The following is a 16,585-nucleotide window of genomic DNA, read 5'->3' as shown; positions in this document are numbered from 1 at the left end:
TCTTTCAGAAAATATTCTCTACCGTTGTTGCCTCTTTGATGCCGACTGTACACACTAGCAGGGCTGATTTGCTCCTGCTTTGGTTTTAGCCTCGATGGCATAGAGGCCCTTCCATAGCATGAACAGCCCTCTCCAGACCCATCTACTCACCTTTGTGAGAGGGCAGAGCCTGCAGACTCAGGGCTGACCTCAGCCCTGGATTCTGTTCAAGCTTTTTCTGAACCTGTAATTTTAAGTGCTGCTTCTAATTCAAGTCAGACTTTTTCTATGTTGGCTTTTCATTTTTGCTTTCTATGGTTTCTCAGTGTTCTTTCACCCCTAAGATCATGATTTTGAATTTTTATTTTTTATTTTTGGTTCTAAGGCGCAGAGAGTTTAGTAGACAAGAAGGAAGGGAGAAGACAGAAGGAAAAAGCTGCCCCGTACAGAGACAGAGGGAAGGGGGCTCCAAAGCCGAAAGAAGAGGTCCCCACGATTGTGAAATTTTTTGTTCTCTCACTTACATGCACCTTTCCCTGGCATAGGGGAATATATAGTTAGGGAAATGCAGGGGCTTTCAATACTGGTATCACAGAATTACACAGTCTTGGAGCTGAAAGGGGATTTTAAGGATTGTCTGGGTGTTTTTCTTCTTTAAAAAAAATTTTAAAATTTTGCTTATAGGGAATTCAGCCTTAGAGAAAAAGTTAAAAGATTATATAAGGTCTCTTCTTCCACCCAACTCAAAAAACACCCCCAAACCAAAACCAACTCTGCTGGACTTTCTGGGATGGTTGATGACCTACTGAGATCTGATTTCCCAGAGCAGGAGGTGGGAAGTGCTTGATCCAGCAATGGGAGGGAATGCTTGAACCCAGGATATCCCAAATGGCTGGAATGTAGGACAGTGGTACCATGCCCAGGCTGGGACCAACTTCTTAGCTGGCCTTCAAAGGGACAGATGGCAGCTGAACTCTGCGTAATGCCCAAATACAGCTCACAGAACCCAAAGACTGTGTCTCTGCAGCGTGCAGCATTGGTCTATAGCATTTGAAGCTATTTTTTCTCTGTAAGTGTCCACAAAATTCGTCACTTTACAATGAGCTTGGCAGGATAGCTGCAGTGAAGAAACTCTCCACACAGGTCCCAGTGTCTCTTCTGGAATTTTGCCTGAGCAAGTAAATCAAATACTTGGTAAACACACTGATGTCACTGTCCCTAGCCATGGGGATTTAGAACTTTTTCAAAACCCCTTTCTCTCTGTGGCCCCACTTGTTTCTCGCTGCAGCCTTTTATTTTTCTGGAGTTGGCTGTGGTTCTCCCTCCATGCTCCAGGCCAGGTTCTGTGGGCTGGACAGGTATGGCGAGTTAATCCTGCCAGACGAGGTCAGCTCTGAGTTAATGAGTACAGCCTCTCTTTCTCCCCTCCAGAGCATGGATTTCTTTCTTAAGTTTGAGGAGACAAAAATATATGCCTGACAAAGGATTACCGGGAAGAATTAAACACGAGTCCTTCAGCATGCACGTATCCATTTGTTGCCTTCCGGGTTTGCTTTCTTCTCAGCCTGCGAGGCTCCTCATTCAGTATGCTGTGTTGTGTGGTTAGCTGTTCCATAGTCATACTGAAAGTGGCTTCTCAGATGCTGCTTGAGTCCTGGGGAATGTCACCATCCGATGACAGTCTAGCTGAGAGATGCTAGCACGCCCACCCCTTCTTCCCCCCACAGATCCATATCTCATCTAGCTGTACACAAAAGGCAACTGATAACTCCTGTTATCAGCACTAGGTGGGGTGGGAGGTTTTGGGGGATGGTCAGCATTTTTTGGTTTCGATGACCATGTAAGTATTTTAAATCTGCAGCTCTGGCAAACTGATAACCTCCACAACTATATCATCAGAGCCCTCATTAATGGAATCATTTTCTAATTTGAACACCTTGTTTGTCCTTCCTCTCATTTCTTAGTGAACCTGTCAGTCTTCCCCAGCCCTTCACTGGTTGAGTTGTGGAAGTTTGGAGTCTTTTGCTTTTCAGGAATAGGCTCTGCTCTCTGACCGTTTCTGTGTCTTGAGCTTTGTGGCGAGTGGAGCTCATTTGGTAGTTATAGGGTCTACAGTTGATGGAGACATTGAGGAGGATTGAATGCCAGGTATTTTAAAGTGGCCTTGAATTAACTGTTTTTTGGCATCTTTCTCAAATGGATCCATGGGTTATCATGGCCTGTGGAGGCACCTCCCATCTGAATGCTTGCCATCCATCAGCTGAGTGACTGTTGACCTTTGCTCCATATGTCCTCCTGTGGGCTTGGCTGGGGAAGCTCACTTCTCAGAGGCACATGGCAGGATGGTCTAGAGAGTTGGTTGGGCCCAGGGAATAGATTCTCTGTCCAGTGATGACCTCATCAACTTCTCCCAAGCAGTTGCCTAAGACCTGCGAATTGTGGACAGCTCCCTGGATATCCCCACATTCTCTTGCCTGTTAACTACATCTCTTTACTATCTCTCTGGCCAGACCACCCCCTTTCACTCCCAGTGGAGGTCCAGTGATCTGATTTGGTTGGGGTCCTCAGCAGCTCTCACCTGGATCACCGCAGGAGCATGAAGGAATCTTCTGCCAGGGCCCCTTTCCCATCACTCCTGCCAGAACAATCTTCCCAAGGCAGGATTTGGAATATCTGTTTCCTTATTTACACCCCCAGTGGCTCTCCACTGCTCATAGTTCAAAGCCCATGCTCTTTAGTAGAGCACCCTATCCCTGCCCTGGCCTGGCCCCTGTCTGCTGCTTCCTCTTGGTCTTCCTCTACTTTCATGGACCCTACCACCCATCAATGTCAAACTGCTGCAGTACTCTGGACCTCCGGCTCCTCGTGCAGCTCTGCATAGATTCGAGCTGCTCTCTGCTGAGGTCCTATGTGATGTCCTCCCCACCCCACCACGATCTAGCAGAAATACCTACTCATCCTAATTAGAACTGGGCACAAGCAACCTCTCTTGTGTGAAGCCTTTCCTGACGCCTGTGGAACACCTAGCTCGGTGTCCTCAGTGCATCTTTCACAGTGCCACGCTTTGCCGCCTCTGTTTACTTATCTATCTCTGCCTCCTAGACTGTAAAGATTGGGTCTTGTAGCTCATCAGCCCAGTACAGTGTCCAGCAAAGAGGAGACACCATATATATTTGTGGAATGAATGAAACAGAAGCTTAGAGTCAGAGATTGTGGGTTTGGATGCCAACTCTGTATCCCACTGACAATTTCTCCGAGCCTCAGTTTGCTCATCTCATCAGCGAAATGGGGAATGTACACTTCCCTCACAGGGTGGCTGTGAGATTAAAGTAAGAAGACACCTTTGGAAATGCTAGTTTGCTGCAGATTTGGCTAGTGCCTGGAATTGAGCAGGTACTCAGTCCTTATTTCCTGTTTCAGGTGATAACCAGAGAGAAAGCCTCTACTTCAGGAGACCGCATCTCATTGTGCCTTTTGTCTTCTTCCAAAGAGGCTTCTCTGATTTTGCCCCTAATTAGGAGGGCGTGCCTGGAGAGCCCCTTAACAGCATCTGGGCAGGGCTTGCCACCAGGGGGCAGAGGCTTTTGAACCATCACTGCTTTGTCAGAGCCTGTAGCGAATGTTCAAAGCCCAAATCTTGTTCCAAATCCCATTCCCTCCAGGACCCTTGTCCTCAGTGGGGATTTAGAAATGGCCCCATGCTGTATGTCACGTCCTTGGCTCTGTGTAAGTCAGCGACAGCCTGCATGTTAATGCCTAAACTGCTTTCTCAAGATTCCTCCAACCATCTGTCATTCAGGTGCCTTCCTTGTACCCTGAAAGGATGATTTTCATCAGGGCTCACAGTATCTGTTAATGCCTCATGAAGGCATCCAGTTGGAAGAAGCAAGAGAAGAGATGCGTTAGAGGGCTCGGAAGGGATCAACATGGAATGGAAAGTTTAATAACTCAGAAAATAGGAGTTTTTAGGAAAGTGGCTAAACAGCTTTAAGAAAAAGTAAATGAGGTCAAACCTGTTCAACCAGGCCCTTGTGCATTAAGCAGCTCAAACAGAGGGCAACTGATTAACCATTTGACACTTCACACACCTGCAAAGTTGACCTGACCAGGCTGGCTCCAGCCAATTTTGCAATCATTTTCTCTCTCCACCCATTCCCTATTTCACCATCAGCCCCCCTCCCCCACTTCAGGCTCCTTGGCCACCTCCCTCCTCTCCACTTACACAACCTGAATTCATCTGTACCAAAATATTCACCCCTCTCTGACTTCTTTTTTTGGGTTTTATGAGGCAGGTGGTCTGAGAAATTGCTTATGACTGTTGGTCCTAATTATGAATCTAATTCATTCAGACTATAGAATACTTAGAAAACACAAAGTGCAAGGAAAAAACAATCCCTTATTACCCGACCTCCCTTTAGCGTTTTTTAAATATACTAGCCCAGTCCTTTTTCCACACATATATAGAGGTGTGTGGGTGTGTGTGGGTGTTTATCTTTACGAAAATACTTTCAAATCCTTTTATAGCCTTTCTCCCCTTTTACTTAGTAGTGTGCTTTCAGCATTTTTAGGTGTTCATAAATATTGTTCTCTGCAGTTTTTAAATGGTTGCGTACTGTTTCACCACATGGGGAGAGTGCTGTAACTGACTGATGGATTCTTTGTTTGGGGACCTTTTCCTGCTTTTGTGACCCACCCCACTATGGTATAGTGCTCATTCTTGTACCTTCTTTTGGAAGTCCCTGAACTCTCCAGCTTGGTCTTGTGTATCTGCGAGGGCCCTGTTTCCCAGTTCTCTTCTCTGGGCTGCTGAAGAATTAGTCTCTACCTCCACGGTTCTGTTTTTTGCATCTGTGATGCTGGCTTATCTGTGCCTCCCTGGAAAGAAAGAGCAGGGCCCACTGCCTACTGCCTGGTCATAGTTATGCTCAAGAACATGGTCCTTGAATTGAATAGGGAAAATGTCCAATCCAGGGCTACCCACCGATGACAGCCAAGCACAGGAGCCTGAGCCACCAGCAATGAAAGTCAAAGCTGAGGGAGAAGGAGCGGCCATCCATTGTTATCATTCGTAACAGGTGCTTGGGAAAACCCCCAGAAGCAGTGTCAGGGCTCTCACTATTTATTTTTAGTTGTGTGTAGATGTTCATGCTTTATGAGTGTGCTAGACATATTTCAGGGTGCCTGCCACCCACACTCTTGGTGGGGAACGGTTTGGGGCCCTTCACATTCCCTGTTGCCCAAAGTGGTTATATGCTGGGTAATGGAATACAGATGCCCATCTGGTCAAGTCCACCTAGATCTGAGTGTGTTGGGGAAATGCATATTGTAAATGACCCCAAAATCTACAACTTTGGGGGCCTGGTTAAAAAAAAAAAGGTCTCCCAGCCAGTCAGACTGCTTTCTGGGGAATTTGCACTGAGAACCACAGTGGTGAGTGCAGCAGCAACAGGCATGTGTAAGCTGAGTATTTGGAGCACAGAAACTATGGCTGAGTAAAGGAACTTTGTCCCTGAAGAGTGGCGGGAGCTGTCCTGAGGAGGGTGGTCTAAGTCACAAAGGTTTTCCAGTTCTGGTCCTTGCAAGGCATAGCTCTGCTGTGATCCTCACTCATGGGTTGCCCTGAAATCCCACAGTGTCTTTTTGTATCCTTTCTCCATCCTCCCCACTTCTCCCCACACACTAGAGCTAGTTGTTGGAGCTCTGCTTATTGCGATTATCCAGCTATCGTCCAAGAGGATGGCACATTGGCTAGTGCTTCCACTGCTGAGAGGGTCACAGCAGTGCCTTGGGCAGAGTCAGGAGAAGAGGAATATTCCTGTTTTGTACCGGAGTGCTTTCCAGGGTGAAGAGCTGAAGGAGCTGCTCTGAGTAGGACACGGCTCTGAGGTTCCTTTGGAGACCCCAATTCACAGCCTGGGCATTCGTAGCTAGGCAGCCCCATTTTCTAGTTTTGTGTCTCCATGGCCTAGTGTTGGGAGACAGAAGGTGGGGACACTGTGTTGAAGGACACAGCAGACTGACTTATCATGGGCTTCCTGAAGCCAGGGCCACCCCTTTGTATCCAGGTCTAGTTCTGATGCCACTTGAAAAAGCCCCCCAAGTGCTTTTGCTGTTGGTGCCCCGCATCTCTCTGCTGCCTGGTAGCTGACATTCTGACCCTGCCTGCAGATGCGCTCCCGGCATGTTGTCAGCAGGGCCCTGGGCTTAGCAGTCCTCTTCCTGAAGCTGTGAGAGCATTGAGGGGTGCACAGCTGGGGCCCTGCCAGCTCCAGGAGGAGGTGCAGGCAGTGCTGAGTGTGGCGGGAGCTGTGGAAGAGTTATTCCAGTCCTCTTTAGGAGAGGGTGGTGGTGGCGGCCAGTAGAGGGACTGTTTGAAATCCAGCAGACACCTTTCTCTCAGACTGAAAACCTGGGGACCAGACTGAGAGTCTGGAGAAACTGAGGTATCCTAGGTCCAGAAATGAAGCGTAAAATAATAGCAACAGTAATTGCTGTGAAATGTATGCTGTGAGAAGGAATGAGGCACTTACTGGTTCAAGTGATGGTCCTTTTACTGGAACTCACTCTAAGCTGCGGTTCACTGAGCCTCTGGACTTCTCAGAGGGAGTGTTGCCATGAAGCTGCCCTCTTTAAAAAAAAAAATGCCCAACACTCAGCCTATTTCCATTATCTCCAAAACCGGAGGGAAAGAAAGAGCGGTCAGAGTAATTACAGGGAGAACATTTCCAGGCAAGTAATCTGATCTTGCCTTTTAATTTTTTTCCCCTCTAGAAAATAGAAGGCAAATACTGGCACTTATATTTACTTATAAGCATTTCTATTAGATGCTGCCTTGAATCTAGGTGGGGCTGAAAACAGTGTCTATTCCTGTGGCTGTGGGCATGGCTGGCCTAGGGCAGGCTGCAGGGCTCCCTCGCTGCCTTTCTTTTTTGATGCTGCTTCTGTGCTGTCCTTCGCATGAGAGTGAGGGGGAATGCAGGTGAGAGGGTGGCAGGACTCAGGTGCTATCCCTACCTTTGCTGGGAGGAGTGGAGGATAGAGGCAAAGAAATGAGCGATAGGAGAGGAGGAGCAGAATAGAAGGGCAGGAAGTGGGGTCTTTTGGGCTTTCCTGGTTCCAAGCATGGCATAGGGTGAAAGAGCCATGGACATCCTGAAAGTGATAAGGTCTTCCCTGGGGTTTCAGTGGTCATGGATAAGAGAAGCTGGGGATTGTACAAATTCAGGTGGGGAAAGGATAAGCAGTAGAAGGCATGGGCTTGTTGGTTATAGAAAAAAAACTATAAATAACCTAAATATTCATTAATATTGGAATAAATAAAATGTGGTGTAATCCTATGATGGAATACTGTGCAGCTATATAAAGAAGAAAAATGGGAACTATATTTGATCTCAAAAACTTTGAGGAGGAAAACTGAGGAACATAACTCAATGAAAGGGATGATAATGTTTATGTAAAAAATGCTGAAAAATAATGTATATTTTTCAGTGGTTACATATATCTAGATATAAAAGCAGTTTTTTGTTTTTTTTTTAAGTCTGGAGAGCTCTATCCTTAAATCACAGTAGTGCTAATCTCTGGAAAAATGAGGGGAAGCAGGGTTAGTGGTAGTAGTCAGAAGAGATAAAAGACTTAAAATACTGTATTTTTTAAAACATTTAAGTAAATATTCTAATCTAAGTAAATAGTAGCATGTTTAAAACATTTTTGAGTTATGGTTTAGCAGTCCTCTAAGGAAGCAGCGTCAACATTTAGTAATGAGGGAATTAGGCAGCAGCTTAGAAGCAGCCACCCATCCCTGGGGCTCAGTAGGTAAATGTCTCAACCTAGGACAATCAGGCAGTCTAGTGACACAGCAGTGCAGACATCAGAGAGATCAGTCAGGTTGGGATGAAATGAATTACTGGGTTTGCAGTCCTTTTGGCTGGTTCTGTAGCTGGCAGTTACATCTTCTTAGAAGTAGTATCAATAATTTAACATTCATTAATCATCATCTTTAGACCAGCTCTATTTTAGGTACCACTGGGGATTCAGATAAGAGAAAGAATGAAAGAGTGAATGAATGATATTTTTGTCCTTGGATTTAAAACTAGGCCAGGCCCTCATCTTGTCGCATTTGACTGTGAATTTGGTCTGTCTGCTTCCAGTCCTGCCCTCTGCTCTGTCCTTCACCTGCCACCAGAGTGATAATTCGAAAGTGTAAATCTGATCCATCTTCTTCCTTACCTCTGTTAGGCTCTTTCTCAACTTCCCCTGTCCCAGAGGAGGTGTTTGACTTTATTAATGTGCCTTTCGGTGCCCTTTTCCGCCTGGCACTGATGTGCCCTCCAGTCATGTGACAAAACGACCTCCGCAAACTTCTTGCTAATCCTGGAATGCACTGCGGTGTTTTCATGTGGTATATATTTCCCTTGCGCTTTGGGACCCAATTCAGATGTCACTACTTTTTTGAAGGCTTTTTGAATGCTTTCACTTTCTGAAAGGGCTTAACCTTGCACTTTGCACCTCACTGCTATCGTATACCATTAAAATGATTAGTTATGTGTATTTATTTTAGGATTGTCAGCTTAGGACAACTTGTCAACTATGTCTTATTAATCTCTCCCTCAGTTTCTGTCCTAGTGTCCATCATAATAGGTACTGAAAAAAATGTTGATTGAAGCCATAGCATATGTTCTTGTTACCTTTCTATGTAACAAATGTTTCCCAACCTCAGTGGCTTAAAACAACAATTTTGTTATGCTCACAGAATCTGGGGGTTGAGAATTTACAGGCACGGCAGGCATGGCTGGAAGTTCCGAGGCTGGGGGCAGCTCACAGGGGAGGCTTGTTCACTCACATGGTGGCAGGTGGAGCTGGGTGGTGATTGGCTCATTCACTCACTTGGTGGCAGGGGGACCTGGCTGGAGCCAGCTCTGGACTGGAGCACCTGCCCAGGGCCTCTCCATGTGCCTTGGGCCCCCTCACAGCATGGCCTCAGGACCGTTGGCTTTCTTATGTGGTGGTTCAGGGGACCCTGAGTGAAATGGAAGCTACATCACTTTTCATGACCTAGGACTGGAAGTCACACAGTGACTTCCTGCCCAGATCCACAGAGGAGGGAATTATTCTAAACTCCACCTCTTGATGGGAGTGTGTGGCATGGTCACATTGCAAAAGAGCGTGTGGGAAGGAGATATTGTTACTGCTGTGTCTGGAGAATACAACCTGCCACGGTGTGTGGGAGAAATTAGTTCCACAGCTAGAGTTAATATCACTACTATTGCTACTACTGCAACTAGCGGCTAAACATTTATTGAGCACTTATTGTGTGCCAGGAATTAAGTTTTAAATGTAGCAACTCATTAAATCCTTCCATAACACTGTGACGATTATACCACTTTACAGATGAGGAAACTGAGGTGCAGAGAGGTTAAGTAACCAGCCCAAGGTCTCACAGCTACTGCCCATGCTGTGGGAAGTCAGTGAAGGCGAAGACTTAGGAATTCACTCCGAACTTTAGGTTTGCTGCTGGATTGTGGCAGTGCATTTATCACATGGGAGTTGATGGCTGTTTCAAGAGCCATTTTTTTTTTTTTTTTTTTTTTTTTTTGAGACAAGATCTCGCTCTGTCACCCAGGCTGGAGTGCAGTGGCACAATCATTGTTCATGGCAGCCTTGGCCTCCCAGGCTCGAGGAATCCTGAAGGTACCTTTTTTTTTTTTTAGATAGAGTCTTGCTCTGTTGCCCAGCCCACAGTGCAATGACATGATCTCGGCTCACTGCAACCTCCACCTGCTGGGTTCAAGCGATTCTCCTGCCTCAGCCTCCGGAGTAGCTGGGATTACAGGCGCACATCACCATGCTGGGCTAAATTTTTGTATTTTCAGTAGGGACAGGGTTTCACCATATTGGCCAGGCTGGTCTCGAACTCCTGACCTCAGGTGATCCACCTGCCTCGCCCTCCCAAAGTGCTGGGATTATAGGCATGAGCCACTGTGCCTGGCCTCAAGGGACATTTTTGATGAAAGTATGGATCCAGATAAGGTCCTTGCACCTGTGGGCTCAGGAAGCTGAACCTCAAGCTGTCCTGGTTTTATGGCTCCACTTGTGCCATCTGGACCTTGGTTAGACTGTCCCTTGATGGCAGTGACATTGACCGAGTGGGCTGGAGTGCAGTGGTGTGATCTCGGCTTGCTGCAACCTCCATCTCCCAGGTTCAAGCAATTCTCCTGCCTCAGCCTCCTGAGTAGCTGGGATTACAGGCGTGTGCCATCACACCCGGCTAATTTTTGTATTTTTAGTAGAGCTGGGGATTCACCATGTTGGCCAGGCTGGTCTCGAACCCCTAACCTCAAGTGATCCATCTGGAAGTGCTGGGATTACAGGCATGAGCCACTGTGCCTGGCCAGTGCAAGTGCCTTTAGCCAGCTTCATTTACTCCCTAACTCCTTGCCTCAGGTTCTGCATCCGTAAAGTGAGGTCACTAGGAGTATTTACCTCAGAGGGCTGTTGCAAGGTTAAAGCTGGTTATACAAGCAGAGTACTTGGAACAGTGTCAGTTACCTGGCTGGGGCTCAGTAAGTGCTGGCTGTCCTTATTGGAAAGGTTCAAGTGTTGTGTTTTCCTGTCACCTGATCTGGAAAGAGGTCAAACAAAGGATCTTTTAGCCCATGCCACTTCCTGTCCTTCCTTGGCTGAAGGCTGACAGGTAAGAATCCCCAGAAGTTGTCACCGATGTGCCTGTGGAAGTGCCTTCCCGATTGCTTTCCCTCTGGAGCCTTTAAGTTCCATGAAGCACTTAGTTGGCCTGGACTCCACCTATTCAGCATGCTGTGGCAGCTCAGTTCAGTTCCCATTTTTAACTTGGGACTGCATAGATTCCCCATCATTTCTTTTAGGACCCGGTGACCAAGAAAATCCAGTCAGTGCTTTATTACTTCTCACTGATATTCACAGAGCACATTTAGTGTGAGCCATGGAATAAGAAAACTCTTAGTCACATTCTGTGTCATGAGAAGGTTACTTAACCTTGAAAACCATTTCCTTGTCTGGTAAATGTGGCTGTAATGAAATCGACCCCATTCACTGTTGTGAGGATTAAATGCGATGATGTATGCAGAGCAACTAGGACAGTGCCTGGGAAAGTGCTGCTCATGATCATTTATCTTCGGTTTAGAACAATATATACTTGCTTATTTAAAAAAGGAGATAATAGAGAAAAGGTATTGAGAAAAATAGGAGAGGAGAAAATCACTCATATTCTCACCATTCAGTGAATCAGCCCAGTATCATCAATGTTTTGTTTGGTTGTTTTTGTAGGTGTAGGATTTTTTTTTTTTTTTAACGTAATTTTCCTGCATATGCAGTTTTGCATTTTTAACCCAAACTTAATGTTCTTTTTAATGTTCTTGTACTTACAAAGATTTATCCTGTTTTTAGATTGATATCTCACCTTGGCAGAAATGAGATAAAATTTTAAAATATTCATTTGGTGGCTTTCACAGTGTTATTTGATCTCTAGGGTCTCCTGTGAGTTTGCTACATGGTGCATTGTATTACTTTCATCTTATAGATGAAGAAAGATATTAGTGTGGCTGAGTCGCATGCAGAATTTGGAGGAGCATGGTGCCGAATGAGCCTTGATGATTGTAGGGGCCACAACTGGAAAAGTAGATGTAAAATGGTGAGGTCGATCCCTCTGACACTTTCACATGCTCAGTCACACATCTTGAACATATAAGTTGGATCCTGTGCCTAGAGAGGTAGGTTTCTGAGCCAAGGCATATTCCAAAAATTCATGAGAAGCTGGCTTTCCCAGGCACAGTGAGCCCTCCCGGCTCACTAACTCCTGAATCATACCTCCTGCCCCTAGCCAAGTTTATCTAGGACTTGAGCACAAAGAAAAAGTGGGAGCATCTTTGAACAAGGAATATCTTGAAAAACTAGTTAAATGGTATCATATATTTGTGGGATGGGTGATTTCAAAACCCAATCTAAAAGGACAGGACCTTGCTCATTGACAATTTATTGTCTGATGCAATGTTTCTTAATCTTTTTGGGTCTTGGATTCCTTTGAGAATCTTTTGAAGTTTATGGACTCTTTTCCCAGAAGAACACACTCATGTGTATGTAACACAATTTTGCATTCAATCTTAGGGACTGCAGGTGTCTACATTAGTTATATATTGGTGTAAAAAAAAAAGCCCCAAACTTAAGGCTTAAAGGAACAATAGATGTTTATTATCTCACAGTTTCTGTGGTTCAGAAAGTCAGTAACATCTTAACTGGATACTTCTGACTCGGAGTCTCTTAGGAGGTTGCAATCAAGATGTTGTTGGGGGGAAAGGGGCAGGTTCAGTGGCTCATGCCTGTAATCTCTACACTCTGGGAAGCAAAGCCAGGAGGATTACTTGAGCCCAGGAGTTTGAGACCAGCCTGGGCAACACAGTGAGACCCTATGTATTAGTCAGTTCTCACATTGCTATAAATACATGAGACTGGAGAATTTATAAAGAAAAGAGGTTTAATTGTCTCGCAGTTCCACAGGCTGTTCAGGGAGCTTAATGCTGGCATCTGCTCAGCTTCTGGGGCAAGCACAGGAAACTTTCAATCATGGTGGAAGGTGAAGGGGAAGCAGGCACGCCTTACATGGCCAAAGCAGGAGCAAGAGAGAGAGGGGGGAGGTGCCACACACTTTTAAACAATTAGATACTGGGAGAACTCTAACGAGCACAGCACCAAAAGGGTGATGCTAAATCATTCATGAAAGATCCATTCCTGTGATCCAGTCACCTCCCACCAGGCCCCACCTCTAACATTGGGGATTATAATTGAACGTGAGATTTAGGTGGGTACACAGACCCCAACCATATCATCCCATCTCTATAAGAAATAAAAAAGTTATCCAGGCATGGTGGTGTGTGCTGGTGGTCCCAGATACTCAGGAGGCTGATGTGGGAGGGTCACTTGAGCCTCAGAGGTCAAGGCTTCAGTGAGCTATGATTGCACCACTGCACTCCAGCCTGGGTGACAGAGTGAGACCCTGTCTCAACAACAACAAAAAGATGCCTGGGGTTGACATTATCTGAAGGCTTGACTGAGTTGACTGAGGCTGGAGAATCTACTTCCAGTCACATGCTAGCCAAGTTAGTGCTAGCTGCTGGCAGGAGGCCTCATGGGGTCCTCCCCATATGGCTGCTTTGATGTCCTCATAACATCGTGCTTGTCTTTTTATGACCTAGCCCTGGAAGTCACATTCCACCATTTGTGCATTTCCTATTGGTCACATAGGTCAGTCCTATTTAGTGCATAGGGCAAGGTCTGAGAGGGGAGTAGTGCTCACTGCCCATGCCCTCTCCTGGTGCACGCCGCTTCCAGCACCCAGAAGCTCTCCTAACTCCATTATTTAGGGTTTTCATATGGGATTTCATTACGTGGGTATGACTGATCAAATCACTGACCAATGCTGATTGGATCAATCTGCGGTCCCCCTCTTGTCCTTGGAGGTCTAAGGGCGGGGCTGAAAACTCCACAATTCTAAGCGTGGCCAGCTCCTTCCTTGAAACTGCCTCCGTGCTCACCTTCAGTCACCTCGTTAGCATAAACTCTGGGATGGCCAAAAGGGGCTTCTTATAAATAACAAAAGGTACTCCCATTGCTTAGGAAGTTCCAAGGGGTTTAGGAGCTCAGTGCCAGGAACTGGGGACAAAGACCAAATATGTATGTGTATATATATATATATATATATATATATATATATAAATACTACAGTAGTGAATTTTATATAGCAAACATGCATTATTTTTCTTTTTGGCTAAAATTTTTTTCTAGTTATAAAACTGGTACATACTCATTGCAGAGGACTGGGGGAAGGAGTAAAATATTAAGAAAAAAATAAAAATCACTTGCCATCCTGTCACCTAGTATTTTCTTTCTAGTTCTTTTCATGCAGTTATATATAACATTTTGATCTTTCTTTTTATGTTACAGAAGTCATATTTGCTTATTGCAGAGTAATCCAAAGAGTACAGAATGTCTAAAGTTAAAAAAGTTATTTAAAAAAAATGATCCTTGCCTGGGAGGAACTTTCTATTGTAGGCTGAGAGGGGAGATAGAGGGGCTGTGGGTCAGAGGATGCCCTGGTCAGGGTTGGGCGCCTGTGTCTCTTTGGAGGCAGCAGAGGTCTGCACAGCGGGGTATTACCATTATAGGGAAATGGTGGGGTGGGATGTGTGGAAGGGGAATTAAACTGCCAAGAAGAAAACAATTCTTTTTATGTTGAGAAGCATTATTTTCAGGGGTCAGAAGCCCTTTGTGGGGCAGAGGGAAAATAAGGAGGTATTTAATAAACAGGTGCAGCTGAATGTGTGTGGTTAAAGTGCAATCCAGTAGTTATTTATTTGTCCAGATTGTTTATAACCTGCTTCCAGCCTAGACAAGTTGATTTGACCCTGCTGTCCTGGCTCATTCAGGCCACTTAACACTGTTTACCTTTGGGTGGGGAGGACGTGCATGATCCGCTGGCCTAGTGCCTTTGTAAGGTCTGTAAATCGGATGCATTCTGGTTAAACTCATTATTGCATCACAAAAGCCAGTATCTGATGGGTCTCAGCTGTTTTCTTTTGCACTGGGGAAGACTGGAGGAGAATGAAACTTCCTTGAACCAGTGATTGGGTCTCTACCAAAGAGAGAAACTTAAAGCCAGTGAGAGCCTTAAGATATTTCATTTGAGCACTTGGCTGGCACCACGTAGGTAGAGACACTTTAAAGTAACAGTGCTTTGCTACACCTGATTTGAATCATCTGTGGAGCTTCAAAAAAAACCCTAATTAATCCTAAGACCAGTTATGTCAGGTGGGGTCCAGGCACTGTTATTTTTTTTAAAGCTCCCCAGGTGATTCCAGTGTAGGTCCAGGATTGAGAAGCAGTTCTTGAAGATGCTGGTGTACCCTGACCTGCCTCCAGCCTTCTTTGCAGGAGATGGATGGGGGTTGGTTGTAGTTGCTCTGTCATAGAACACTGCAATTCTAAGGATGCCTAATGTTATGAATGTAGGTAAATTGTTTGCAAAATGTTCTGTGTTTCAGGAATACTGCAATCATTTGATTTAAGTGTCACCATATGTGTGTGTGTATACAGTCATGGGTCACTTAATGATGGGGACATGTTTTAAGAAATGCATCATTAGGCAATTTCATTCTTGTGTGAACATCATAGGGTGTATTTCAACAAACCTAGATGGGATATATATTTTCATTTATATATTTTATTATGGAAAATCAAATGTCCCAGCACTGTTACTAAATATCAGTCATTTCCCCTACTTGATCTGCCATGCCAACATTAAGTGCCATATATTAGATCTCTATATATGCTCCATTATAATCTTACAGGATCACTGTTGCACATGTGTTTCCTCATTGACTGAAATGTTATTCAGTGCATGACTGTACATATATTAAAAATGTTATGCACCATATTTTAACATACTGATGTTACTAATGAGTTGTCCTCATGGTGACTTTAAATGTCATAATTAATGCCATCAACCAGAATATATCAAATAAATTCAGATACCACTTGTTCTGTTTATTTCCTTCCCCTGCCAATTTTTTATTTTTCCTGGTTCTGCTGAAGCCAAGATGGGGTGCTGTGTAAGATTTTGTTTGTGAGGAAAGGTTCTGCATGAATTAAAGTTTTGCAAGCCATGGGCATTTCATTGTATGGGCCGTTTTGAGGTCTGTCATCTTGCAGATTAGATTAGCTTACACTGAGGCACAGTCACCTGCTGGGCTGGGCAGAGAGCTGCACTCCACTAGTATTTGAGCTGTCCCGGCTGTTCACCAGCTGGATCCACTTCAGATAGGCATAGCCAGGGCAGCCGCCATTCCCATTTGTGGGGGAAAAGGGAAGCTATCACAAGAATGGGCTGCAGCTGTGGGATGAGGTGGGCAGCCCAGTGATGGTGTCATTGTCAAGGGGCCGTTGAAATGTCCTTAAGCAGTCATTGGCCAAATCCTGTCCTCTATGGATCCAGAGCCACAGAATGTTCCAGCAGAAATATGTCTTAGCCAGCAGCTCTTTATTGAGGACTGATTGTGGGCTAGGCTCTGTGCTAGGGTCTTTACAGATGTTACTAAATCTTCTCAATAACCCTATGAGACAGGCATTATTATCCCCATCTTACCGATGAGAAAACTGAGGCTTAGAGAGGTTAAGCAGCTTATCCAAGATCACAGTTAATAAGTGACAAAGCCAGCATCGGAACCCATGCTAGTGCTCTCTAAAGCGTTCTTAGAAATCATGTGATAGATGAGAAGATCAAGGTCTGGAGAAGAAAAGCAAGTTGTCTGAGATGACACAACCAGCTCTAATTGGTGGCAAAGCTGCACCTATAACTCACCTGCGCTTTTCACAACCTGCAGTACGTGACCACTGCCGAAATGAAGAGGCAGGGGTGTGCCCCCTCCCACCTTCTGAGTGGCTCAGGCACAATCAATGTTGAGTTGGCACGAAATGAGAAATTAAACTCACCATGCCACTTTAAGAAGAACATGGAGAAGGCAGGCAGAAGTGACCGTGGAGAACAGTATCTGAGCCAGAAGGCAGGAGGTCAGCGGGGGAG

The 16,585-nt window shown here is 45.3% G+C and overlaps 3 annotated features.

Annotated features, from left to right (window-relative positions):
• Positions 8,362-8,861: an enhancer, noted in NCBI's record as "H3K4me1 hESC enhancer chr22:18790789-18791288 (GRCh37/hg19 assembly coordinates)". NCBI's record gives its function as "activates a minimal SCP1, AML or CMV promoter by ChIP-STARR-seq in naive H9 embryonic stem cells {active_cell/tissue: H9 hESC(naive)}" and the evidence as "EXISTENCE:reporter gene assay evidence [ECO:0000049][PMID:30033119]".
• Positions 8,862-9,363: an enhancer, noted in NCBI's record as "H3K4me1 hESC enhancer chr22:18790287-18790788 (GRCh37/hg19 assembly coordinates)". NCBI's record gives its function as "activates a minimal SCP1, AML or CMV promoter by ChIP-STARR-seq in naive H9 embryonic stem cells {active_cell/tissue: H9 hESC(naive)}" and the evidence as "EXISTENCE:reporter gene assay evidence [ECO:0000049][PMID:30033119]".
• Positions 14,187-14,798: an enhancer, noted in NCBI's record as "OCT4-NANOG hESC enhancer chr22:18784852-18785463 (GRCh37/hg19 assembly coordinates)". NCBI's record gives its function as "activates a minimal SCP1, AML or CMV promoter by ChIP-STARR-seq in naive and primed H9 embryonic stem cells {active_cell/tissue: H9 hESC(naive and primed)}" and the evidence as "EXISTENCE:reporter gene assay evidence [ECO:0000049][PMID:30033119]".

The sequence above is a fragment of the Homo sapiens genome, chromosome 22 (genome assembly GCF_000001405.40).
Source record: "Homo sapiens chromosome 22, GRCh38.p14 Primary Assembly".
Classification (NCBI taxonomy): domain Eukaryota; kingdom Metazoa; phylum Chordata; class Mammalia; order Primates; family Hominidae; genus Homo; species Homo sapiens.
Note: the sequence above shows the minus strand (reverse complement) of the source record. Positions and strands in the feature narration are given on the sequence as shown.